At 41.5% G+C, this 24,581-nt stretch overlaps 1 protein-coding gene and 1 long non-coding RNA gene across 17 annotated transcripts in view, besides 3 other annotated features; one reads left to right on the top strand and one right to left on the bottom strand.

The window, feature by feature from the left end:
- Positions 1 to 1,378: 1,378 nt before the first annotated feature.
- Positions 1,379 to 2,805, bottom strand: LOC124903009 (uncharacterized). The gene is made up of 2 exons (XR_007063445.1): positions 2,771 to 2,805; positions 1,379 to 1,533 (listed from the first exon to the last, which is right to left on the bottom strand). It is a non-coding gene; the product is annotated as an uncharacterized LOC124903009 (long non-coding RNA).
- Positions 6,221 to 6,300: a silencer, noted in NCBI's record as "silent region_4821". NCBI's record gives its function as "represses an Ori minimal core promoter by ATAC-STARR-seq in GM12878 lymphoblastoid cells {active_cell/tissue: GM12878}" and the evidence as "EXISTENCE:reporter gene assay evidence [ECO:0000049][PMID:35858748]".
- Positions 6,401 to 6,550: an enhancer, noted in NCBI's record as "active region_6951". NCBI's record gives its function as "activates an Ori minimal core promoter by ATAC-STARR-seq in GM12878 lymphoblastoid cells {active_cell/tissue: GM12878}" and the evidence as "EXISTENCE:reporter gene assay evidence [ECO:0000049][PMID:35858748]".
- Positions 6,631 to 6,860: a silencer, noted in NCBI's record as "silent region_4820". NCBI's record gives its function as "represses an Ori minimal core promoter by ATAC-STARR-seq in GM12878 lymphoblastoid cells {active_cell/tissue: GM12878}" and the evidence as "EXISTENCE:reporter gene assay evidence [ECO:0000049][PMID:35858748]".
- CRY1 (cryptochrome circadian regulator 1) overlaps positions 6,692 to 24,581 on the top strand; it is a 102,186-nt gene continuing 84,296 nt past the window's right edge. For 14 of the 16 annotated variants that reach the window (NR_182153.1, NR_182152.1, NM_001413466.1 and 11 more), the window contains exon 1: positions 6,692 to 7,437. Coding sequence is in view for 7 of the 16 variants with exons in the window: in NM_001413460.1 (NP_001400389.1) it covers positions 7,280 to 7,437 (158 nt within the window). In the remaining 9 variants the exon portion in view is untranslated. The remainder of the gene's footprint in view (positions 7,438 to 24,581) is intronic. The other 2 variants (NM_001413468.1, NM_001413463.1) reach the window with 2 other exon arrangements.

The following is a 24,581-nucleotide window of genomic DNA, read 5'->3' as shown; positions in this document are numbered from 1 at the left end:
CTGTAAATTGCAGATAATTGATAGCAATGCAAATGAATCCTGTCCTTGGACATGCAAATGAATGCTGTCCTGTGAAAGTACAATTGATCTCCATTCCCCTACCCCTCTGTGGAAGAAGTCAGTTTCACATATATTAAGCAAATTCATTTTAAATGCATGACGGCCTATCTGTGTAACTGCTCTTTGGATCCTCCGTTTAATCCATTGTAACATCATATGGGTTCCTTCATTAATTAGTGAGTTAAGTGAAATTTTTGACATGTTCATTTTATATTCATAAAAAAGTCATAACTTACCTTTAAAAAATAATTACAGTGAGCTATGACCATGCTACTGCACTCCAGCGTTGGCAACAGAATGAGACCCTGTCTTAAAAAAAAAATCACCCTTTAACACATTTAAATTCAATCCCCCAAAGACTCCAGTGTGAAGGATACTCAGCCAACATTCACATCATATCAGGATTGAACGAGCTGAACAGACTGTCTACTCCTTCATTATTTGTGTATTAACAGATGCCAAAAATCACCTCTGCAAGATGGGTTCAAGAGACAACACAGGCTTTTGATTTAGAGATCTGACTCACTTTTATCAAGAGTGTTCATGAAATCAAGGATACATTGATTTTTCTAACATTGTTGGCAGTTAAAAGAACCTTTAACAGGACTCATATATTTCTGAGCTCACAGCAGGGTCACGTTCATAGAATTTTAAAATAGCACAGAAAACTTAGAAATCATGTAGTTCAGTTCCCTCATTTTATAGATGAATTAGGCCAAGAAAACCTGGGTGACTTGTTCAAGATGATCAACTAATTTAATGGCAAGCTGAGATACAAACTGCTCTCTTCCTCTTAGTCCTGTACTCTCTTACCACCACAATGTTGGAGCCAACCAGAATTTCAAAAATGATTCCTAACAATGGCCTCCACCTCTTCTTTCCCCCTTTATACATAATATTCACTCTGAAAAGAATGGGAGTGTGTGTGTCAGTGAGGGATGGTATATTTTAAGGAAAGAGTTTTGGATCCAAAAACAGTATTAGTTTTTCAACGGGTTTGACTATGTATTTGTGTTTCTGAGTTTCTGTTTCTTCAACAGCAAACTGGGCACAGATTCTTATTAAATAATTATTAAATATTAATAAACTGCATAATTAAGATTACTAGGATTAATAATCTATACAAATAAGCTTGCACATAGTAGGTGCTCAAAAGCCATAGCTAGTATTAAATGGTAACCCTCCTCCCCTAAATCATTTATATGCCATAAAAACCCTTCAGTATTTGAGGAATGTGCAGTTGACACTACTGACACTTTTATAATAAATTAGCATTTTATGTTTAAATGAAAGTTATACACACACCCCCACACAGCTGTTTAAAAAAAAAAACCTGTTTTTATTGAATGAAAAATCCACAAACGTAAGTCAACTCTATACAAATCAATATTCTCTGCACCTCCCACTGTTTCATTTGGATGCTTGAAAACAATTCTTATGTCTTTAGACACAATCTGCTTACTTTCAAATTGCCTAAAAGGAAACACAAAACATTGTATTTTAAAAAGTACAATAATGGGCCCTGAAGAATGAAGCAATCCAAGTGAAGGCACAGCTCTGTATACCAGATCTGCTGCATAGGCGAGGGGAGGCTAAGTGTGGTGATGACCCAAGGCTTATCCTCATCAGTAAAAATGACCCATATTTGCTTAACACTTTACAGTGAACACAGGGTTTCCCTTCCCTTCCCTCCCCTCCTCTCCTCTTCCCCTCCCCTCCCCCTCTCCTCCCTAATCCCCCTCCCCTCCCCTCCCTTCCCTTCCCCTCTCCCCTTCTCTCTCTTTCTCTTTCTTTCCTTCCTTCCCCTCCCTCCCTCCCCCTTCTTTTTCTTTCTTTCTTTCTTCCCTTTTCTTTCCTTTCCTTTTCTTTTCTTTTCCCTCCCTCTTCCTTTCCTTTTCTTTTCTTTTCCCTCCCTCTTCCTTTCCTTTCCTTTCCTTTCCTTTCCTTTCCTTTCCTTTCCTTTCCTTTCCTTTCCTTTTCTTGACAGGGTCTCACTCTGTCACCCAGGCTGGAGTGCAGTGGCATGGTCTTGGCTCACTGCAGCCTCCATCTGCCAGCTACATCAATCCTTCTACCTCAGTCTCCCTAGTAGCTGGACCAGGCCTGGCTAATTTCTTTGTATCTTTTGTAGATATGGGGTGTTACCATGTTGCCCAGGCTGCTCTCTAACTCTTGGGCTCAGGGGATCCTCCCCAGGGTTTTCATTGTATTAGTATGTTCTCACACTGCTAATACAAATGTACCCGAGACTGGGTAATTTATAAAGGAAGGAGGTTTAACTGACTCACAGTTCAGCATGGCTTGTGGGGGGCCTCAGAAAACTGACCACCATGGTGGAAAAGGAAGCCAATACACCCTTCTTCACATGGAGGCACCAAGGAGAAGTACCGAGCAAAAGGGGGAAAAGCCCTTCATAAAACCATCAGATCTCAAGAGAACTCACTCACTATCATGAGAACAGAAAGGGGGTAACTGCCCCCATGATTAAATTACCTCCTGCTGGATCCTTCCCACAACACATGGGGATTATCAGAACTGCGGTTCAAGATGAGATTTGGGTGGGGACACACCCAAACCATATCATTCCAGCCCTGACCCTTCCCAAATCTCATGTCCTCACATTTTTAAACACAATCATACCCTTCCAACAGTCCCCCAAAGTCCTAACTCATTCAGGTATTAACCCAAAAGTCCAAGTCCAAAGTCTTACCTGAGACAAGGCAAGTCCCTTCCACCTATAAGCCTGTAAAATCAAAAGCAAGTTAGTTACTTCCCAGATACAGTGGAGGGAGTTACAGGCATTCAGTAAATATACCCATTCCAAATGGGAGAAATTGGCCAAAATGAAGGGGCTACAAGCCCCACATGAGTCTGAAATCCAATAGGGCAGTCATTAAACCTTAAAGTTCCAAAATGATCTCCTTTGACTTTATGTCTCACATCCAGGTCATGCTAATGCAAGAGGTGGGCTCCCACCTCTTTGGCAGCTATGCCCCTGTGGCTTTGCAGGACACAGCCCCCCTCCCAGCTTCCTTCACAGGCTGGTGTTGAGTGTCTGCAGCTTTTCCAGGTGCACGGTGAAAGCTGTCGGTGGATCTACCATTCTGGGGTCTGGAGGATGGTGGCCCTCTTCTCACAGCTCCACTAGGCAGTGCCCCAGTGGAAACTCTGTATGGGGCTCCAACCCTACATTTCTCTTCTGCACTGTCCTAGCAGAGGTTCTGCATGAGAGATCTGCCACCACAGAAAACTTCTGCCTGGACATCCAGGCATTTCTATACATGCTCTGAAATCTAGGCAGAGGTTCCCAAACTTGAATTCTTGACTTCTGTCAAGGCTGAACACCATGTGGAAGATGCCAAGGCTTGGAGCTTGCACCCTCAAGCCATGGCCTGAGCTGTACGTTGGCCCCCTTTAACCACAGCTGGAACACAGGGCGCCAAGTCCCAAGGCTGCACAAAGCAGCAAGGCCCTGGGCCTGGCCCACAGAACCATTTTTTCCTCCTAGGCCTCTGGGTCTGTGATGGGAGGGGCTGCTGTGAAGACCTCTGACATGCCCTGGAGACGTTTTCCCCATTGTCTTGGAGAATAACATTTGGCTCCAAATTACTTAGGCAAATTTCTGCAGCTGGTCTGAATTTCTCCTCAGAAAATAGGTTTTTCTTTCTTATCACATTGTCAGGCTGCAAATTTTCCAAACTTTTATGCTCTGCTTCCCTTTTAAACATAAGTTCCAATTCCAAGCCATATTATTTGTGAATATATAAAACTGAATACTTTTAACAGCACCCAAGACACCTCTTGAATGCTTTGCTGCTTTGAAATTTCTTCTGCCAGATACCCTAAATCATCTCTCTCAAGTTCAAAGTTTCACAGATCTCTTTGCTAAAACATAGCAAAAGTCACCTTTATTCTAGTTCCCAAAAAGATCATCTCCATCTGGGACCACCTCAGCCTGGACTTCATTGTCCATATCCCTATCAGTAATTTAGTCAAAGCCATTCAACAAGTCTCCAGGAAGTTCCAAACTTCCCCACATTTTCCTGTCTTCCTATGAGCCCTCCAAACCATTCCAACCTCTGCCTGTTACCCAGTTCCAAAGGTGCTTCCATATTTTTGGGTATCCTTATAGCAGCACCTCCCAGTAGCAATTTACTATATTAGTCTGTTCTCATGCTGCTAATAAAGACACACTCAAGACTGGGTAATTTATAAAGGAAAGAAGTTTAATTGACTCACTGTTCAGCATGGCTGGGGAGGCCTCAGAAAACTGATCATCATGCTAGAAGGGGAAGCCAACACAACCTTCTTCACATAGAGGCAGGAAGGAGAAGTGCTAAGCAAAAGGGGGAAAAGCCCCCTATAAAACCATCAGATCTTGTGAGAACTCACTCACTATCATGAGAACAGCATGAAGGTAACTGCCCCCATGATTAAATTACCTCCTACCGGGTCCCTCCTACAACACGTGTGGATTATGGGAACTACAATTGAAGATGAGATTTGTGTGGGGACACAGCCAAACCATATCATTCATATATATAATTTTAAAAGTATTCTTACAGAACCAAAGAAAGGCTGATATATACTTCTTGTGGCAACAGAAGCAGAAGTAGGGAAGACTATTCAGACAGATTGGCTCTCTAGAGTATTGAATTTACTTTATTGCTGCACTAGTTTGCTAGGGCTGCTGTAAAAAAGCACCACAAATTGGGAGGCTTAGAACAATAGGAACTAACTGTCTCGCAGTTCTAGAGGCCAGAAGTTCAAAATCAAGGTGTCAGCAGTGCGACAGTCCTGTGAAGGTGCTAAGAAAGGATCTGTTCCAGGTCTTTCTCCTAGCTTCCAGTAGTTCCTTGGCTTGTGGCAGCACAGTTCCAATCTTTACATGGTATTTTCCCTGTATGTATATGTATTTCTGTGTCTAAATTTCTCCACTATATGAGGCCACCAATCACACTGGATTAGGGTGCACCCTAATGACCTCATCTTAACTTGAGCATGTACAAAGACCTTATTTCCAAATAAGGCCACATTTATAGTCATTGAGAGTTATATGATTTTGGGGACACACAATTCAACCAATAAGAATTGCCATCTCCTTCTTTCTTTTAACTTTGCCAAACACACTGGTGGCCAACAGCACTCACTCACTCACTCATTCATTCATTAAATAAGCATTTGCCTATGTCAGGCTCTGTTCTGGTGTTGATGCAAAAAATAAAAACAAAAGAAAACTGAATACAGACCCAGTCCTTGAGAAATCACACTTCAGAGGGAATCAGAGGCACATTATTATGATAATAAGTACTATTACTGAGTTGGTATTGCTAGGAATGGGCACTTTTCAACTAATTTTCACGGTAGTGTGAAAAGTGATGTAACAGAAACATACTTGGAGAACCCAGGGAGGTCCTAAATTTGCCCTAGGGATCAGGAATACTTTCAGAAATTAGTTATTATTTCATCTGAGTCTAAAGGGATGCGTAGAAATATCCTAGGTAGCTCAAAGGTGGTAATATTGAGTACTGGATTCCAAAGAAGAGTATTTTATAGAGGAAAAAACAGCAAAGGTTAAGAGACAAATTGTAAACCCCAGGAGGGGTGGGGTTTTAGTCTGTTTTATTAAGTATCTCCTGTATCTCTAGTGCTTTGAACAGTGCCTAGTTCATTCAAAAAGTAATCATTGAATGAATTTAAGGGCATCATATATCTAAGGGATGCCATGGCCTGCAGTTCACTGTCGCTGGAAAAGTAGACAAACGTCCAGTTTCAAAGAGACCGGTAAACTACATTAAATGTAAGAGACGAGGGGTGAAAGGTTGATGATATATATCGCTAGTATTAAAAAAATTCCAGGAAGTCCAGGAATGCCTGGCATCCGTCCTGCCAATTACCCTTTTCCCCAGAGTATGTACAAGGGGGAGGAGGCACCCAAGGGCCAGGAGAGTGGAGGGGCACAGCTCCACAATCTCCAAAGTAGGGTTCTCTGGCCAAAGCAGGATTGAAGCACATGGTTTGGACTTGAAATGTACGTGGAGCCTCCCACTCTCCTCCTTCCACTCCATCCTCCCCTCACTCTCCGCCCGACTCCACCACTGGCTCCTGAAGGAAACCGGACAATTTCCAGGCCCTCCCCAAATCCCACGGGAGGAATCGCCGAGCGCGCTCCTGCCCGCCGGCCCCGCCCCCTTACCCTCTGGAACGCAGCGAGAGCGCACGCGCGCCTAACGGAGCAGCGCGCGCGCCCGCAAGCTCCCCGCATCCCCGTGCTCATCCGGGTCTCAGCGAGCCTCGGCCAATGGTGGCCGCTCATGGCCCTTGGGGGCGGGGCTAAGCCTTCCCTCACAAGGGGCCTGTGGTCAACGCGATTTGCTTCCAAGGGACGGCCACCAGTCGGCACAGGAAAGGGGCAGAGGCAGTGAGTTCAGCGTGTGGACGAGGGTCAACAAGTTTGGGATCAAGCGGCTGCCGCTCCTCCAAAAGCGACCGAAGCGCGAGCAGATTACCCCTCCGAGCCAGTGTAGTAAACACACTTCAGAAACGTGAGGTGCCGGTGGTCACGAGGGGAGCGCGCCCTCCAATGAGGAGCCGGGGGCGGGGCCGAGGCCGCTGACGCGGCGGCGGCGGCAGAGTCACCCGGGCAGCCTCGGGACCGGTCACCGGCCGGCAACCGTCCAGCGGCCTCGACCACCGCCTCTAGCCTCCGTTCCCGGTCCTTTCTCCCGGGCCGAGAGACAGCGTCGCCGACAGGGGCTCATTCCCCTCCGGTTCTCCTCGGTGACTCACCTCGGGCGGGCCGTTTTGTCTTTAGGGGCCGCCTTGGTGGGGCGAGGTTTCCGTGACGAATCTCCTGGGGCCGTCCGTGCCGGCTCGGGCCGTCGTGGCGGCTCGAGCTCCTGGAACTTGCTCAGGCTCCGGAGGTCCGAGGCCCTCGAAGTTATGCGTCGCCTCCAGGCGGTTGCGGCGGGCGCGGGCTCCTAAAGGGCGTCACACCCGGACTCCGCCGACTAGGCAACCTCCATTCATCTTTCCACTGCGCCTCCGGCGCCCCCGCCTTCTCCGGTCCCCTCCTCGGAGTCATTTTTTCCTGTTCCCCCTCTGCCGCCCTTTCCTCACGCCCCGGGTGAGGCAATTCTCTTGGAAGCGAAGGTGTCGGCTATGAGCCGGAGCCTCCTTCCTTGAATTTCTCCGTGGAGGACCCGCCGCGCCCCCCGGCATGGGGGTGAACGCCGTGCACTGGTTCCGAAAGGGGCTCCGGCTCCACGACAACCCCGCCCTGAAGGAGTGCATTCAGGGCGCCGACACCATCCGCTGCGTCTACATCCTGGACCCCTGGTTCGCCGGCTCCTCCAATGTGGGCATCAACAGGTGGCGGTGAGTCACAAGCCCGTGGGAAATGGATTTGGGTGTTTAATGAGTCTGATGTTAATGAATTCCATGCGATCCGCCAAATCTGTGAATTTAGACGTGGGACTGTCTTGCTTATACCGCTTACGAATTTTAGGTGCCCTAAGTATTAAATAGAATTGACTTAATACTTCTCTGGCCAAAGAGTACTGACGACCTGAAACACTCGGTCTTCATCAGTGAGTTATGTGTCTTTCTGTGCTAACTGGAGCTCCTCCCCTGAATTTGTGGAGAATTCTTAGTGCTGGAGTTAAAGAAACACCTTTCCTGTCCTTAGTGGCCATTGTATATGGATTCCCTTGGCCTTTTTGTGGCATTCGGAAGGATTGTGATGTTTCCTGTTTACGTTTGTGTCTAGGTAACTCATAGTATGGAGAAAAATCATTCATTCAGTACAGCAGGCTCCAGATCCAGTGTTCTTCCACCTTGAGGTTACTGTGGGAAAAGCAAGGGAAACAGCATTATCTGGTTTCTCTGCTCGGTTCTTTTTCTCAACTCCTCCTTGTGGTTGCCGAGACAAAGCACAGTTTTTCTTTCTAGGCAAGTTGTAGTCCTTCTAGGGATCAGAGCACTGAAAGAAATCTTAGAGATGCTTTATGATCTTTTCCTGAAACACCAGGCTACATGATTGTTAGGCCCCCTGGTGGAAATAAAAGCATAGCTCAACAGATAGACTCTTGATCACTTAGCATGTGCCAGGCACTGATTTAAATGCTAGGGATATAGCAGTGAGTGAAAGACAGAAAGTCATGTCTTCAAGCAGAAAGTAAAATATGTAGTATTTTAGGTGGTGATAAGTATTGTGGAAAAAAATAGAGCAGAGTAAAGGGATAAAGAATACAAGGGTAGGGATGGGGTTGCAATTTTAAGTATGATCGGGGGAAAAGTCACAGAGAAGGTGACACTTGAGCAGACCTGAAGGAGGTGGTGGGATGCAGATATCTAAGGGAAGACCATTCCAGGCAAAGGGAAGAGTAAGGGAAAAGGCAGAAATATGCTTGACCTTTGGAAGGAACAGCAGAAGAATCCAGTATGTCTGGAGCAGAATAAGTGAGGGAAAAATAGTAGACGATGAGGTCAGAGTTGACTTAGGGCCAGATTGAAGAGAGCCTTATAAGCAGTTTTCAAGATTTGGGTTTTTACTTAGTGAAATGGGAATAACTGCAGGATTATGAGCAGAGAAGTAATGTGATCTGACATAAGTTTGGAAAAGAATTTTTCTGCTTGTGGTTCTGAATTGGGGAGTGGAGGTGGACAAGAAGCAGGAAGTCCAATTAAGAAGCTGTTGGCATTCATCCAGGTGAGAGATGATAACGGCTTGAATCATAGTAATAATCGTGGACGTGGTGAGAAATAAACAGATGCTGGTTATATTCTGAAGGCAAAATACAGGGTATTTGTTGGCAGATTGGATATGTAGTGAGAGAGAAAGAAAAGGAGTTAGGCTGGGCGCGGTGGCTCATCCCTGTAATCCCAGCACTTTGGGAGGCTGAGGCCAGGAGTTCGAGACCAGCCTGGCCATCGTGGCAAAACCCTGTCTCTATTAATACTGAAAATATAAAAATTAGGTGAGCATGGTGGCGCATGCCTGTTATCTCAGCCACTCAGGAGGCTGAGGCACGAGAATCGCATGAACCTAGGAGACGGAGGTTGCAGTGAGCTGAGATCGTGCCACTGCACTCCAGCCTGAGTGACAGAGTACTCTGTCGCAAGAAAAAAAAAAAAGGACTTATAGTTTGGTGCTATATAAAAAGCACCAAAATTCAGTGCTTTTTATATAGTAGCAGTTTAGTTACTGTTTGAGAAAATTTTTGGCTTGAGAAACTGGAAGGATGGGGCTACACTTTGCTAAGAAAGTGAAGCCAGCTGGAGAAGCCATTGGGAGGGTGATTGGAGTTCTCTTTCATTAAGTCATTAAGTTTGAGATGTATTTTACACATTCAAATGGAGATAGCAAATAGGCAGTTGGATGTATCTGGAGCTCAAGACAGAGATCCAGGCAGGAAGTATAAATTGGAGAATTCATTAGTTTATAGATAATATATAAAGCCATTTATTCATCCAACCATTTATTGAACAAATATTTGTCAAGCACCTACTATATGCCAGGCACTGTTTTAGGTGCTAGAGATCCAGTATAAACAAAACAGCCCCCAATTCTCACCCTGTTGGAGCTACATTCTAGTGGAGCCGTGAGACTGACAGCATTAATAAAATGAGATAGACAAGAGATGCAAATGGTGCAAGGGCTGAACCTTGAATACTCTTAATGTTTATAAATTGTGGAGCTGTGAAAGAACCAGCATATGAGACTGCGAAGGAGCCACTAGTAATGTAAGAAGAAAACCCAGAAGAGTATGGTGTCTTAGAAGCCAAGTAAAGAAAGTATTTTGGTCAGGCATGTAATCCCAGCACTTTGGGAGGCTGAGGCAGGCAGATCACTTGAGGCCCGGAGTTTGAGACCAGCCTGGCCAATATGGCAAAACCCCGTCTCTAGTAAAAAACACAAAAAAATTAGATAGGCGTATGGCACATGCCTGTAATCCCAGCTACTCGAGGAGGCTGAGGCAGGAGAATCGATTGAACCCAGGAGGCAGAGGTTGCAGTGAGGCGAGATCGTGCCACTGCACTCCAGCCTGGGCAACAGAGCCAGACTCTGTCTCAAAAAAAAAAAGAAAAAGAAAAAAAAGAAAGAAGGAAAATATTTCAAGGAAGAGTGTTTTACTTACGTCAGATGCTACCGATAGGTCAAGAGGAGAACTGAAAAATAAAAATTGGATTTAGCAATTTTAGGTCATTTGGAATTTTATCTGGAGTGGTTTTGGTAGTGTCAGAGGCAAAAGTCTTTTTGGAATCACTCATAGTACCAAATTCAGTGCTTTTTATATAGTAGTAGCTCAATTATTGTTTGTTGAATATAGTGATATCTTGGAGTCAATAATTTTATATTTAAACAGCTTTATTAATTTACTTATTGACTATGGGATAATGCCCAAATTCCTTAGCCTGGCAAGATCTACCTTTTGGCTTATGTATTTCATTTTCTGCTGTTTACAATATGTGATTTCAACTCCAGGGGGAAAACCCTCTTAGTTTTCTTTAGAAGCTATCTTGTATTTTCTTCGGTCAACACTTTTTAGACTTTTGGATTTAACAGAAAAGCAAAATTTTAAATAGTATTCTACCTAATAAGCACATTAACAAAACCACTTTTTGATATTGCCATCCTTTCATTTAAAAAGGATGTTTTATATTTAAAAAAAAAAAGTTTGGCAGAGCTCAATGTCTCATGCCTGCAATCCCAGCTACTCAGGAGGCTGAGGCAGGAGAATCACTTGAGCCCAGGAGTTGGAAGCTGCAATGAGCTATGAATGGGCTACTGCACTCCAGCCTGGGTACACAGAGAGACCCTATCTCTTAAAAAACAAACAAACAAACAACAACAACAAAAAATTTGAAGGACATTGTCTCAGAATAACATGTTTTTGATTTGGGTAAATTTACAAGCTTTATGAAAATTTGCATCTCTTAGAAAAATTATCCTATACAAAAACTTATACACTAACATTCACAGAAGCATTATTCATAATAGCCAAAAGGTGGGAACAACCCAAATGGCCATCAGTTGATGAATGGGTAAACAAAATATGGTATATCCATATAATGGAATATTATTTGGCCATAAAAAGGAATGAAGTACTGATATACGCTACATGTATGAATGAACCTTAAAAACAAACTAAACGAAAGAAGCCAGTCACAAAATTCCATGTGTTATATGATTCTGTTTATATGGAATGTCCACAGTGGGCAAATGTATAGAGAGAGGAAGCAGACTAGTGGCTCCTTAGGACTGGGGAAGCTAGGGAGTTGGGAGGTGATAGCTAAGGGGCACAAGGTTTCTTTTTGAGATGATGAAACTGTTCTAGAAGGTGATGGATGATTGTACAACTCTGTGCTTGTCTGGGATGATTAGCAGTATTCTGAACTCTTGCACCACTTTTTGCTGTTGCTCCTCACATCACTCTTAGCATTTGCTGCCCTCATTTGTGAATGTTAGTATTGTTTTATTAATAGTTTGTTTGAGCTGCTATAACAAAATACCTTTAGACTAGGTAGTTTATAAACAACAGGAATTTATTTCTCACAGTTTTGGAAGATGTCCAGAATCAAGGCACCAGCAGATTCAGTGTCTCTGCTGAATAGACGATGCTTTCTCTGTCTCCTCACATGGCAGAAGGGGTAAACAAGTTCCTGCAGCCCTTTTTATAAGAGCACTCCCTTAGTCTGTTTGTGTTATTATAAAGGGATACCTGAGGGTGGGTAATTTATAAAGAAAAGAGGTTTACTTGGTTCATAGTTTTGCAGGCTTTACTAGAAGCATGGCTTCAGCCTCTGGTTCTGGTGAGGACCTCAGAAAGCTTTTAATCATGATGGAAGGGGAAGTGGAGCTGACATATCACATGGCGAGAGAGAGAGGGGAGGGATACCAGTCTCTTTTTAATAATTAATTGTTCTGTTAATTAATAGAGTGAGAAGTCACTCATTACGTGATAGCACCAAGCCATTCATGAGGGATCTTATCTCATGTTCCAAACACCTCTCACCTCCAACATTGGGGATAACATTTTAACATGAGATTTGAAAAGGACAAATATCTAAACTATATCACTCCACTTCTAGCCCCCCAAATATCTTGTCTTATTTATTTATTATTTTTATTTTTATTTTTGAGACGGGGTATCACTCTGTTGCCCAGGCTGGAGTGCAGAGGCGTGATCATGGCTCACTGTAGCCTCAACCACCTGGGCTCAAGCAGTTGTCCCACCTCAGCCTCCCAAGTAGCTGGGACCACAGGCATGCATTACCATGGCCAGGTAATTTTTTTTATTACTTGTAGAGGTGAGATCTCACTAAGCTGTCTCATACTCCCGGGCTAAAGCAATTCTCCTGCCTCAGCCTCTGAAAGTGCTGGGATTATAGGTGTAAGCCACCATGCCCACCCTCTTTTTTCTATTGTAAGATATAATCATCTCTTTCAAAGTCCCCAGAAATCTTAACTAGTTTCAACATCAACTCAAAGTCTAAAATCTTATCCGAGACTCAAGGCAGATTCCTTATAGCTATGAACCTGTAAGATCAAAAACAAGTTATCTACTTTTAAGATACAATGGTGGAACAGACATTGGGTAAATATTTTCATTTTAAAAGGGACAAATTGACCAACAAAAAGGGACCCACCCAAGTCTGAAACCTACAAGGGCAGACATTAAATCTTAAAGCTGTAAAATAATCTCGCTTGACTCTTGTCCCATAACTGAGCACACTGGTCCAAGAGGTGGGCTCTTGAAGCCTTGGGCAGCCCCATCTCTATGGCTTGGTTGGGCACAGACCACATGGCTTCTTTCATGGATTGGAGTCTAATGTCTGTCACTTCTCCAGGCTGAGGGTGTGTGCTGTTTTCATCCAAAGGATTCTTTTAATCTTTCCACTTCCTCACTTTCCACTCCCTCCCACATCCTGAGCACACTGGTCCAAGAGGTGAGCTCTCAAAACCTTGGGCAGCTGCATCTCTATGGCTTGGTTGGGCATAGCCCACATGGCTGCTCTCATGGATTGGAGTCTAATGTCTGTCACTTTTCCAGGCTGAGGGTGTATGCTGTTTACATCCAAAGGATACTTTTAATCTTTCCACTCCCTGACTTTTCTTTTCCTTTTCTTTTTTTCTTTTCTCTTTTCTTTTCCTTTCTTTCTTTTTCTTTCTTTCTTTGTTTCTTTCTTTTTCTTTTTCTTAACAGTATTTAACACATTTGACCACACCTTTCTCTTCTTCTCTTGGCTTTAGTTAGACTGCCACCACTGTGGGTCCTGGAGGGCAGTGCCCCTGTTCCCGCTGCTCTACAGTGAGTTCTCTGTGGGGACTGTAACCCCATATTTCCCCTTGGCACCAGCCTAGTAGAATCTCTCTGTAGGAGCTCTGCTGTGGCAGGCTTCTGCCTGGACAGCCAGACTTCTTGACATATCTTGTGAAATCTAGGTGGAAGCTGCCAAACCTCCATGGATCTTGTATTCTGTATACCTGCAGACTTAACACCACTTGGAAACCATCAAGGCCTATGGTTTGCACCCACTGGAGTGGCAGTCCAGACAGTACCTGGGGCCTTTTGAGCCCTGGCTGCAGCCAGAGCAGCCAGAACGTGGGGAGTAGCATCTCAAGACCGCACAAGGCAGCAACACCCTGGGCCTGGCCTCCCAAACCATTTTGCCCGAGGAGGCCTCTGAGCCTGTGATGGAAGGGGTAGCCTTGATTTCTGGAATGTCTTGGGGGCTTTTCCCCATTGTCTTGACTGTTAACAACTGGCTCTCTTTTATTCATGTTAATTGCTTTAACAACCTGTTCTGTCAGGGCCTGGTACCTGGGGCTAGGTAGTTTGGATTTCTCTCCTGAAAACTTCCCTCTACCACATGGTTAGGTTGTAAATTTTTCAAATTTGTATGCTCTGTTTTTCTCTTAATTATTAGCTTTAACTTTGTCTTTTTTTTGAACTCCCATATCTGATAGTAGGCTGTTAGAAGCAGCCATGTCACCTTTTGAACGCTTTGTTGTTTAGAAACTTTTTTTTGCCAGGTAGCTTAAGTCATTACTCTTAAGTTCAGCCTTTTACAAAGTCCTAGGCATGGATACAATGTAGCCAAGTTTTTTGTTAACAAGCATAACATATAATGTGGCCATTTTTTTGTTTTAGTTTTTAAAAATTTTATTTGAGATCTCATGAACGTGGCCTTTACTGTCTATATTTTAATCAGCATTTTTATCACAACCTCTTAACCAGTCTCTAAAAAGTTTTAAAGTTTTTCTTGTGTATGAGGTTTTTTGTTTTTGTTTTGTTTTGTTTTGAGTTCTCTAAGCTCTTGTAAGCAGCTTTAGTTTTTGCTTTTTTTTTAATACTTTAAGTTCTGGGATACATGTACAGAACCTGCAGGTTTGTTACGTAGGTATACATGTGCCATGGTGGTTTTGCTGCACCCATCAACCTGTCATCTAGGTTTTAAGCCCCACATGCATTAGGTATTTGTCCTAATGGTCTCCATCCCCTTGCCCCTCAACCCCTGGCAGGCCCCGGTATGTGCTGTTCCCCTCCCCGTGTCCATGTGTTCTCATTGTTCAACTCCTACTTATGGAGAACATGCGATGTTTGGTTTTCTGTTCCTATGTTAGTTTGCTGAGAATGATGCTTTCCAGCTTCATCCATGTCCCTGCAAAGGACATGAACTCATTCTTTTTTATGGCTGCTTCATATTCCACAGTGTATATGTGCCAGATTTTCTTTATCCAGTCTATCATTGATGGGCATTTGGGTTGGTTCCAAGTCTTTGCTATTGTGAACAGTGCCACAATAAACATACATGTGCCTGTGTCATTATAGTAGAATGATTTATAATCCTTTGGGTATATACCCAGTAATGGGATTGCTGGGTCAAATGATATTTCTGTTTGTAGATCCTTGAGGAATCACCACACTGTCTTCCATAATGGTTGACCTAATTTACACTCCCACCAACAGTGTAAAAGCGTTCCTATTTCTTCACATCCTCTCCAGCATCTGTTGTTTCCTGACTTTTAATAATCGCTGTTCTAACTGGCATGAAATGGTATCTCATTGTGGTTTTGATTTGCATTTCTCTAATGACCAGTGATGATGAGCTTTTTTTTCATGTTTTTTGGCCACATAAATGTCTTTTGAGAAGTGTCTGTTCATATCCTTCACCCACTTTTTGATGGGTTTTTTTTTTTTTGTAAATTTGTTTAAGTTCCTTGTAGATTTTAGATATTAGACCTTTGTCAGATGGATAGATTGCAAAAATTTTCTCCCATTCTATAGGTTGTCTGTTCACTCTGATGATGGTTTCTTTCACTGTGCAGAAACTCTTTAGTTTAATTAGATCCCATTTGTCAAGTTTGGCTTTTGTTGCCATTGCTTTTGGTGTTTTAGTCATGAAGTCTTTGCCCATGCCTATGTCCTGAATGGTATTGCCTAGGTTTTCTTCTAGGGTTTTTATGGTTTTAGGTTTTACATGTAAGTCTTTAATTCGTCTTGAGTGAATTTTTGTATACAGTGTAAGGAAGGGGTCCAGTTTCAGTTTTCTGCATATGGCTAGCCAGTTTTCCCAGCACCATTTATTAAATAGGGAATCCTTTCCCCATTTCTTGTTTTTGTCAAGATCAGATGGTTGTAGGTGTGTGGTGTTATTTCTGAGGCCTCTGTTCTGTTCCACTGGTCTATGTATCTGTTTTGGTACCAGTACCATGCTATTTTGGTTACTGTAGCCTTGTAGTATAGTTTGAAGTCAGGTAGCATGATGCTTCCAGCTTTGTTCTTTTTGCTTAGGATTGTCTTGGCTATACAGGCTCTTTTTTTGGTTCCATATGAAATTTAAAGTAGTTGTTTCTAGTTCTGTGAAGAAAGTCAATGGTAACTTGATGGGAATAGCATTGAATCTATTAATTACTTTGGGCAGTATGGCCATTTTCATGATGCTGATTCTTCCTATCCATGAGCATGGAATGTTTTTCCATTTGTTTGTGTCCTCTCTTATTTCTTTGAGCAGTGGTTTGTAGTTCTCCTTGAAGAGGTCCTTCACATCCCTTGTAAGTTGGATTCCTAGGTATTTTATTTTCTTTGTAGCAGTTGTGAATGGGAGTTCATTCGTGACTTGACTCTCTATTATTGGTGTATAGGAATGCTTGTGATTTTTGCTGATTGATTTTGTATCCCGAGACTTTGCTGAAGTTGCTTATCAGCTTAAGGAGTTTTGGGGCTGAGGCAATGGAATTTTCTAAATATACAATCATGTCATCTGCAAACAAAGACAATTTGACTTTCTTTCTATTTGAATACCCTTTATTTCTTTCTCTTGCCTGATTGCCCTGGCCAGAATTTCCAATACTATGTTGAATAGGAGTGGTGAGAGAGGGCATCCTTGTTTTGTGCCAGTTTTCAATGGGAATGCTTCCAGCTTTTGCCCATTCAGTATGATATTGGCTATGGGTTTGTCATAAATAGCTCTTATTATTCTGAGTAACGTTCCATCAATACCTAGTTTATTGAGAGTTTTTAGCATGAAGCGGTGTTGAATTTTGTCCAAGGCCTTTTCTGCATCTATTGAGATAATTGTGTGGTTTTTGTCATTGGTTCTGTTTATATGATGGATTACATTTATTGATTTGCATATGGTGAACCAGCCTTACATCCCAGGGATGAAGCTGCCTTGATCGTGTGGATAAGCTTTTTGATGTGCTGCTAGATTCGGTTTGCCAGTATTTTATTGAGTATTTTCATATTGATGTTCATTGGGGATATTGACCTGAAATTTTCTTTTTTTGTTGTGTCTGCCAGGTTTTGGTATCAGAATGATGTTGGCCTCATATAAAATGAGTTAGGGAGCAGTCCGTCTTTTTCTTTTGTTTGGAATAATTTCAGAAGGAATGGTACCAGCTCCTCTTTGTACCTCTGGTAGAATTTGGCTGTGAATCCATCTAGTCCTGGGCTTTTTTTGGTTGGTAGGCTACTAATTACTGCCTCAATTTCAGAACTTGTTATTGGTGTATTCAGGGATGTGACTTCTTCCTGGTTTAGTCTTGGGAGAGTGTATGTGTCCAGGAATTTATCCATTTCTTCTAGATTTTTTAGTTTATTTGCATAGAGGTGTTTATAGTATTCTCTGATAGTAGTTTGTACTTCTGAGGGATCAGTGGTGATATCCCTTTATCATTTTTTATTGTGTCTATCTGATTCTTCTCTCTTTTATTTATTAGTCTGTCTAGCAGTCTATCAATTTTGTTAATCTTTTCAAAAAACCAGCTCCTGGATTCATTGATTTTTTTGAAGGGTTTTTCGTGTCTCTGTCTCCTTCAGTTTTGCTCCGATCTTAGTTATTTCTTGTCTTCTGCTAGCTTTTGAATTTGTTTGCTTTTGCTTCTGTAGTTCTTTTAATTGTGATGTTAGGGTGTCGATTTTAGATCTTTCTTGCTTTCTGATATGGACATTTAGTGCTATAAATTTCCCTCTTAACACTGCTTTAGCTGTGTCCCAGAGATTCTGGTATGTTATCTCTTTGTTCTCATTGGTGTCAAAGAACTTACTTACTTCTGCCTTAATTTCTTTATTTACCCAGTAGTCACTCAGGAGCAGATTGTTCAGTTTCCATGTAGTTGTGTGGTTTTGAGTGAGTTTCTTAATCCTGAATTCGAATTTGATTGCACTGTGGTCTGAGAGACTGTTTGTTATGATTTCCGTTATTTGCATTTGCTGAGGAGTGTTTTACTTCCAATTATTGGTCAATTTTAGAATAAGTGCTATGTGGTGTGAGAAGAATGTATATTCTGTTGATTTGGGGTAGAGAGTTCTGTAGATGTCTACTAGGTCTGCTTGGTCCGGAGTTGAGTTCAAGTCCTGAATATCCTTCTTAATTTTCTGTCTCATTGATCTAATATTGACAGTGGGGTGTTAAAGTCTCCCACTATTATTGTGTGGGAGTCTAAGTCTCTTTGTAGGTCTCCGAGAACTTGCTTTATGAATCTGGGTGCTCTTGTTTTGGGTGCATATATATATTTAAGATAATTTGCTCTTCTTGTTACATTGATCCATTTACCATTGTGTAATGCCCTTCTTTGTCTTTTTTTATCTTTTTTGGTTTAAAGTCTGTTTTATCAGAGACTAGGATTGCAACCCCTAAGCAGCTTTAGTTTTAAAGCTGCTTTTATGTTTTTAGATATCTTTATAGCAACACCCCATTCCTGGTACCAGTTTTTTGTGTTTGTCTGTCCCCATGACTCAGATACCTCTTGCTAGGCTCCATCTGCAGTATTAGAGATCAAGTTTTAACATGGGATTTGAAGGGGACAAATATGTAAACTATATCAGGCACTAATCCCTCTCATGACAGTACAATGCATATGACCAAATAACTTCCTAAATGCCCCACCTCTTAATACTGTAGCATTGAGGATTAGGTTTTAACATGAATTTTGGGGGAACATAGACATTCAGACCATAGCAGGGATGTATTCTGTATATAATCTCTCTCTCACTTAACAGATAGTACCTTCCTGAAGAGAAGTTGCCTCTTAAATCAAAAGTTTATTTTGTGTCCCTATCCATTATAGGCAGTATTATTGATGCTGGGTATACAGTATTGAATAAAACAGAAAAAGTTGCTGCCCTATTCCAGTGGGGGGAAAACGGACAGTAAGACAAAAATAATGTATCAGGTGGTGGTAAATTCAATGGAGAGAAATAAAGCAGAATGTGAGAACAGGGACCTAAAGGAAGAGGAAACAGGCTATACATGTATCTGGGGAAAGAGCCTTTTTGTGTTCTCCACAGCATAGTGGCTTATACATAGTAGGCATTAAATATTGTTTTAATTTTTCTTATAAATCTAAGGTTGAGGGATAGGACAGCTACTTTATATAATTTATATGTTAATGTCTATCTTAAACTCATAACTTAAAAAAAATTCTCAATGAACAGATTTGTTTTAGAATTTAAACTTCAACATGTTCATTACACATTTGAAGCTATGACTTGTAAGCTCTCTTAATTTTCAGTAACCAAATCTATAAATGTGCCTACATCCTTACTAGTTCTTCCTTCTAGTATACAACTTCAGTGGAAGAGATACTGCTGTCTCTTTTCAAAACGAGTTTCTTCTTCTGTGCTCCATTTCAAAGACTTTGCTCATTTTTTATATTTATTCTTACCTTTTCTTCTACTTTTTCTTCTTTTTAGGTTGCCTCCAATCAACATTTAAACATGCTTAAGATCAAATTCTGTAAAACATACACAACCTGTAACAACAAAGGAACAGAACTTAGCATTAACTGTGTTCCACTCCTGCAACTATGTATCTCAGTTTCTTTGTAGCCAATTTCTTGAGCAAGATGTCTAATAGTGGCTGACTTCATTTCTTTATATTCTACTTACCCTTGAACCCAATCCAAACTAAGGCATGTCCGGCTTCACTCCCACCCACTCTACCAAAACTATTTTTATCCAAAGGATACTTTAAATCTGCCCATTCCCTGACTTTTTTCTTTTTTTCTTTTTTATTTTTTTTTAACAATGTTTGACACATTTGACCACACCTTCCTCTTCTTCCCTTGGCTTTATTAAAGGACTCTTCTGTGCTTTCCTGCCAGCGCTATTAGTGTTCTTCCTTAGCTTCTCCTTTTCTGTTCAACCTTTAAATGCCCCTGAGGTCTGTGATCTCCACCCTCTTTTCATTTCACATATTTCTAGGCAATCTTATCTCCTCTCATAAAGTCCGTTACCATTTACTCGTCTATGCCCAGAATTCTCAAGTTAGTGTCTTCAGCGCAAATCTCTTTCCTGATCCCCGGACGTGTGTGTGTGTTTGTATGTATCATATATACCCATTTGCCTGCTTGAATATATGACATTACCTCAAACTCAGCTTGTCCAAAACAGAGTTCATCTTCATCCTTCTCTATTGCACAAAAACAAACAAACCCCAAACTGAGTTTTCCTGTGTTTTCTGTCTTCACAAATGATACTTCCATTTGCCCATTTGAGTCCTTACTGTGTGCCAATTACTTGCTAATTTCTGTGGATAGCATGATAGTCAACAGGTAATTTCTCTGCCCTCAGGGAGTTTATAGTACAGAGGAAGATTTATTCAGAAATAAAATAGTTACATAAATACATTCTTCCCTCTCCATTGTCTCTTTAGCCCATATCACCATTCTCTTTGCCTAGGTTGTTTGGGTAGCTTACAAATCATTGTCCCCCTTGCCCTTCTCTAATTCATTCGCTACACAGCAAGTAGAGTGATCTTTTTAAAATTGCAAATCTGGTCATGTCATTTATGCTTTAAAACCTTTTAATGACATTTCTTTACCCTTAGGTTAAAGTTCAAAAAGCCATAGCATGGTTTCAAATCCTTGTGTAATCTGGCCCTCTGCTTCTTTCTAGTCTCTGGTGATTATTTCACTGAGGCAGTTAAACTGAAACTTGAAGTGTAAAGTGGATCTTAATAAGCAAGGCATGGAGGGAAGGGAATTCCAAGCAGAGAGAAGCAAATTCCAGACTGAAAGAATAGCTTAAGGAAAGGCACAGTATTCTGATAGTGGTGAGGAGGCTGATGTAGCTGAGTCATGTGGTGCATGAAAAGATAGGAGATGTTGTTTAGTACTTTTTTGTTTGCTAGTTGGTTGCCTGAGTCAAACAGGCTTAAGCAAAAAGAAAGTTTATTGGTAGATGTAATTGAATAACCTAAGGGAAACTGGCTTTGGACATCGCTTGATACCAGGACTCAGAAGATGTTACCAGGATCACATTTCTCTTTGCATCTCTGAACTTCACTTATTCTGCCTTGACTTCTCAAATAGGCTGTCCTCTGGTGGCAAAATATAGCAATAACAATGGCATTTATCTCAGCAAAAAGCATACACCTTTGGCCCAGAAGTCTCAGCAAAAGTCTTATGGCACTTCATTGGCTCTTTTGGGCCAGTTTCTGAACTAGTCATCATGAGTTTATGATTGTCTTAGCTGAAGTGTGCTTCACTGGTGGAATCAGCTTGACTGAACTGAAGTAACTGAAGTAAAATGAGTAGGAAGTAGGTGGATATCCTAAAACAACATTGTTGCCTATTATATAAGAACTCAGATAAGTGGGTATAGTTCAGAAAAGCTGCCCTTGTTTGGGGAAATATAAATTTAGCAGCTGAGTGAATGTTAGAAGAGAGAGTCAAGATACTAGTTTGGAGACTTTATCAACAGTTCAAGTGAAAGATAATACAGGCTTAAACAAGGGGAAAGGCTATGAGGAAGGGGAAGATATAAGAGGAAGCCTGTAGAGGTACAGTGAAAAGCTTAGGTGACTGCCTGGAAAACACAGTTTCACAGAGGAGGAGGGTGAGGGAGAAAGTAGAGTGTAAGATCCTCATACTTTGTGCCTCTGTGACAATTAGACATTAAGTTAGGAAACACAGAAATAGACCATAGGTAGGTGAGGAAAAGAGTGAGTTTAGGTTGTTGACCAATTTGAAGCACTGCTAAGATATCAACATGAGAAATGGAGAAAATAGAAATTTCACTCTGGGAATTATAGACATTGGATCTGTGCATATGGGAATAATTCCTGTATAAGTAATGGATGAAGCATGCCTGGATGAGATTGGATACAGCCATAAAAAGTTATGTTAGTCAAAAGCCCAGTGAAAAAACTCAGCGAATACTATGTTTAAGATGAATAGGAGCTGGTGAAGGAGGCGAAAGAGAACCAGAGAGGTAAAAAGAGGATCCAGGAGAGTGCCATATTATGGAAACTGAATGTGGCAAGAGTGATTTTACCTTGCACTACAGGAGGCAGGTTAGGATGAGTTTTGACAATTATGTAGGAAAAATTATCAAAGACTTAGAGGTGGGAAAAGGAAATTATTGCATATCTAGAATGCTAGATGTTGTTTAGAGGACCCTCCAGGAGTTATATGATTCTGATTAAGGGATATGCATCTTTGTATTTGATTGACAAGGCTGTTTCACAACTCTGTAAAAAGGGATAAAAGTTAAGTTGTAGAAAACTGAAAGCAGTACAAATGTTTTCTGCCCATACCAATGCAAATTATGTTTGTGCCATGAAAATGAATTTTGTAAGTTGAGAAATAGTAAATCAGATTCTTATTTGAATCAGTTTTAACATCTTATTTCTTTCTTCCTTAATCAATGAATTACGTAAATTTTTTGCCAGATCTTCATTTCATGTTTGTATGAGAGTCATAATTTTACTGTTTTGAAAATTATACTTTATCTGTTACAAAGGCTTTTGGTGAACTTTGAGATAACACTTCAATGTAGGTGTAAGGATAGAAATCAGATTGTATAGGATGTTAACAAAGGTGTGTGTAGCAGGTGAGGGGAGGGGAGTGGGGGAAATGATTCAGGTTGGAATGTGAGGGGGATTTTTTATGAGAGAGGTAAGAAATTAGCTCAAGGCATAGGTTCTGAACAGGCTGAGGAAAAGTGAATTTTGGTTAGATAACTAGACTTTTAGTCAAGACTGAGCATAGTGTATTCACAGGATGATAAATAAATAAAATATATAGATAACTTTTAGTCAAGACTGAGCATAGTGTATTCACAGGATGATAAATAAGAAATAAAATATATAGATAAGGTGAGGCCTGAATATGTAATTCTTTGAATGACAGACTGAAGTAAGTTTAGAACATCTGACTGTACTAAGACCTACTTTATAATTCTTACTTTCCTATTAAATGGCCGTGGGACTGACCTTGGGTAAATCTCTCTCCCTTCATTTAGTCATTCAGGAAAACATTCAGTGAGAGCCTGTTATCTACCAGGTACTGTGCAAGTCATTGGAGATACAAAGATGAAGGTTATGGTTCTTGCCTGTAAGGAAACTTTCACACCACTAAAGGACAATTAGAACATACAATGTTAAAAAGGACCTCTGTGGAAATCTGCAAATACAATTGTGAAAGCACAAAGGAAAGACAACTTTAAAGGGGTGGGAAAAGGGGTAAAGGTGATGAGTGTGAGTTCTAGAGGTGTGTGTGTGTGTGTTTGTGTGTATGTGTTGGGGAGTGCTGGGTGTGAGATATGAGACTGAGAGAGGAGGAATTCTAGAATGCTTCTGTAGTAGGCCGTTCTTGCATTGCTATAAGGAAATACCTGAGACTGAGTTATATATAAAGAAAAGAGGTCTAATTGGCTCATGGTTCTGCAGGCTGCTCAGGAAGCATAGCAGCGTCTGCTTTTGGGGAGCCTCAGGAAGGTTACAATCATGGTGGAAGGCAAAGGGGGAGCAGGCATGTTGCATAGCAAAGGCAGAAGCAAGAGAGTCGGGGGGAGGTGCTACACACTTTTAAATGACCAGATTTCATGAGAACTCGCCATTGTAAAGATGTACCAAAAGGGATGATGCTAAATAATTCGAGAAACCTGCCCTTTTGATCCAGTCACCTCCCAGTAGGCCCCACCTCCAACACTGGGGATTACATTTCAATATGACATTTGGGCAGGGACACATATCCAAATTAGATCAGCTTCTTGAAGATACATGAGTCAGTGTACTTACATGAAAAGAGAGGTTTTTTTTTTTTTTTTTCTTTGAGGCAGGGTCTCATTTTGTCACGCAGGCTGGAGTGTAGTGGCATGATTTCAGCTCACTGCAACCTCTGCCTCCTGGGTTCAAGGTGATTCTCTTGCCTCAGCCTCCCGAGTAGCTAGTGGAATTACAGGTGTGTGCCACCATGCCTGGCTAATTTTTGTATTTTTAGTAGAGATGGAGTTTCACCATGTTGGCCAGGCTAGTCTTGAACTCCTGACTTCAAGCAATCTGCCTGCCTCAGCCTCCCAAAGTGCTGGGATTACAGGCATGCACCACTGCGTCCAGCCTGAAAAGGGAGTTTCTAAGAAATCGTCTCTTATGTGACACCATTGGAACCTGCAGTTACTTGAAAAAGGAAATCATTTAAAAAAAAAATAGAAAAGTGTGCATTAATTTGATAGTTTTTGATGTAAGGCTTGATTCCAGGTCTGAGTTCTTTTGCTCACTTCTTTATCCACATTTATTCTTTAGGTGATCTCATCTAGTTGCATACTTGAATACCTGATAATTTCCTATCGTGTATTACCTGCACTGGCCTCTATCTTGAATTCCAGATTTGCCTATCTAGTATTTTTACTTGGATTCAAAATAAGCATCTTAAGCTGATTTTGTCTCCATCTCCTCTACCTCCCATGGCTTCTCTATATCACAGTAAATGTCAACATTCACCTAGTTCTGCAAAAACCCAGGAGCTACCCTTTCTTCTTTTTGTACTCAAACTTCATATCTAGTCCTAAAACAATTGTTAGAGCTTTTCCCTTCAAATTAAATCTCATATCCATTCAAATAACACCCTCCCACTGCTATCATAATATCCAGGCCACCAGCATTTTTTACAAGATTACTGTAAAAGCCTCCTAAGTTTTCCACTTCCATTTTTGTGCCTACCTTTCCCATCTGTTCCATGTGGAATTCAGAGTAATATTTTTAAAACCATAGTTAGGTCTGGTGGCTCA

The sequence above is a fragment of the Homo sapiens genome, chromosome 12 (assembly GCF_000001405.40).
Source record: "Homo sapiens chromosome 12, GRCh38.p14 Primary Assembly".
NCBI classification, from domain to species: domain Eukaryota; kingdom Metazoa; phylum Chordata; class Mammalia; order Primates; family Hominidae; genus Homo; species Homo sapiens.
The sequence above is the reverse complement of the archived record's forward strand: the minus strand, read 5'-3'. Positions and strand labels throughout refer to the sequence as shown.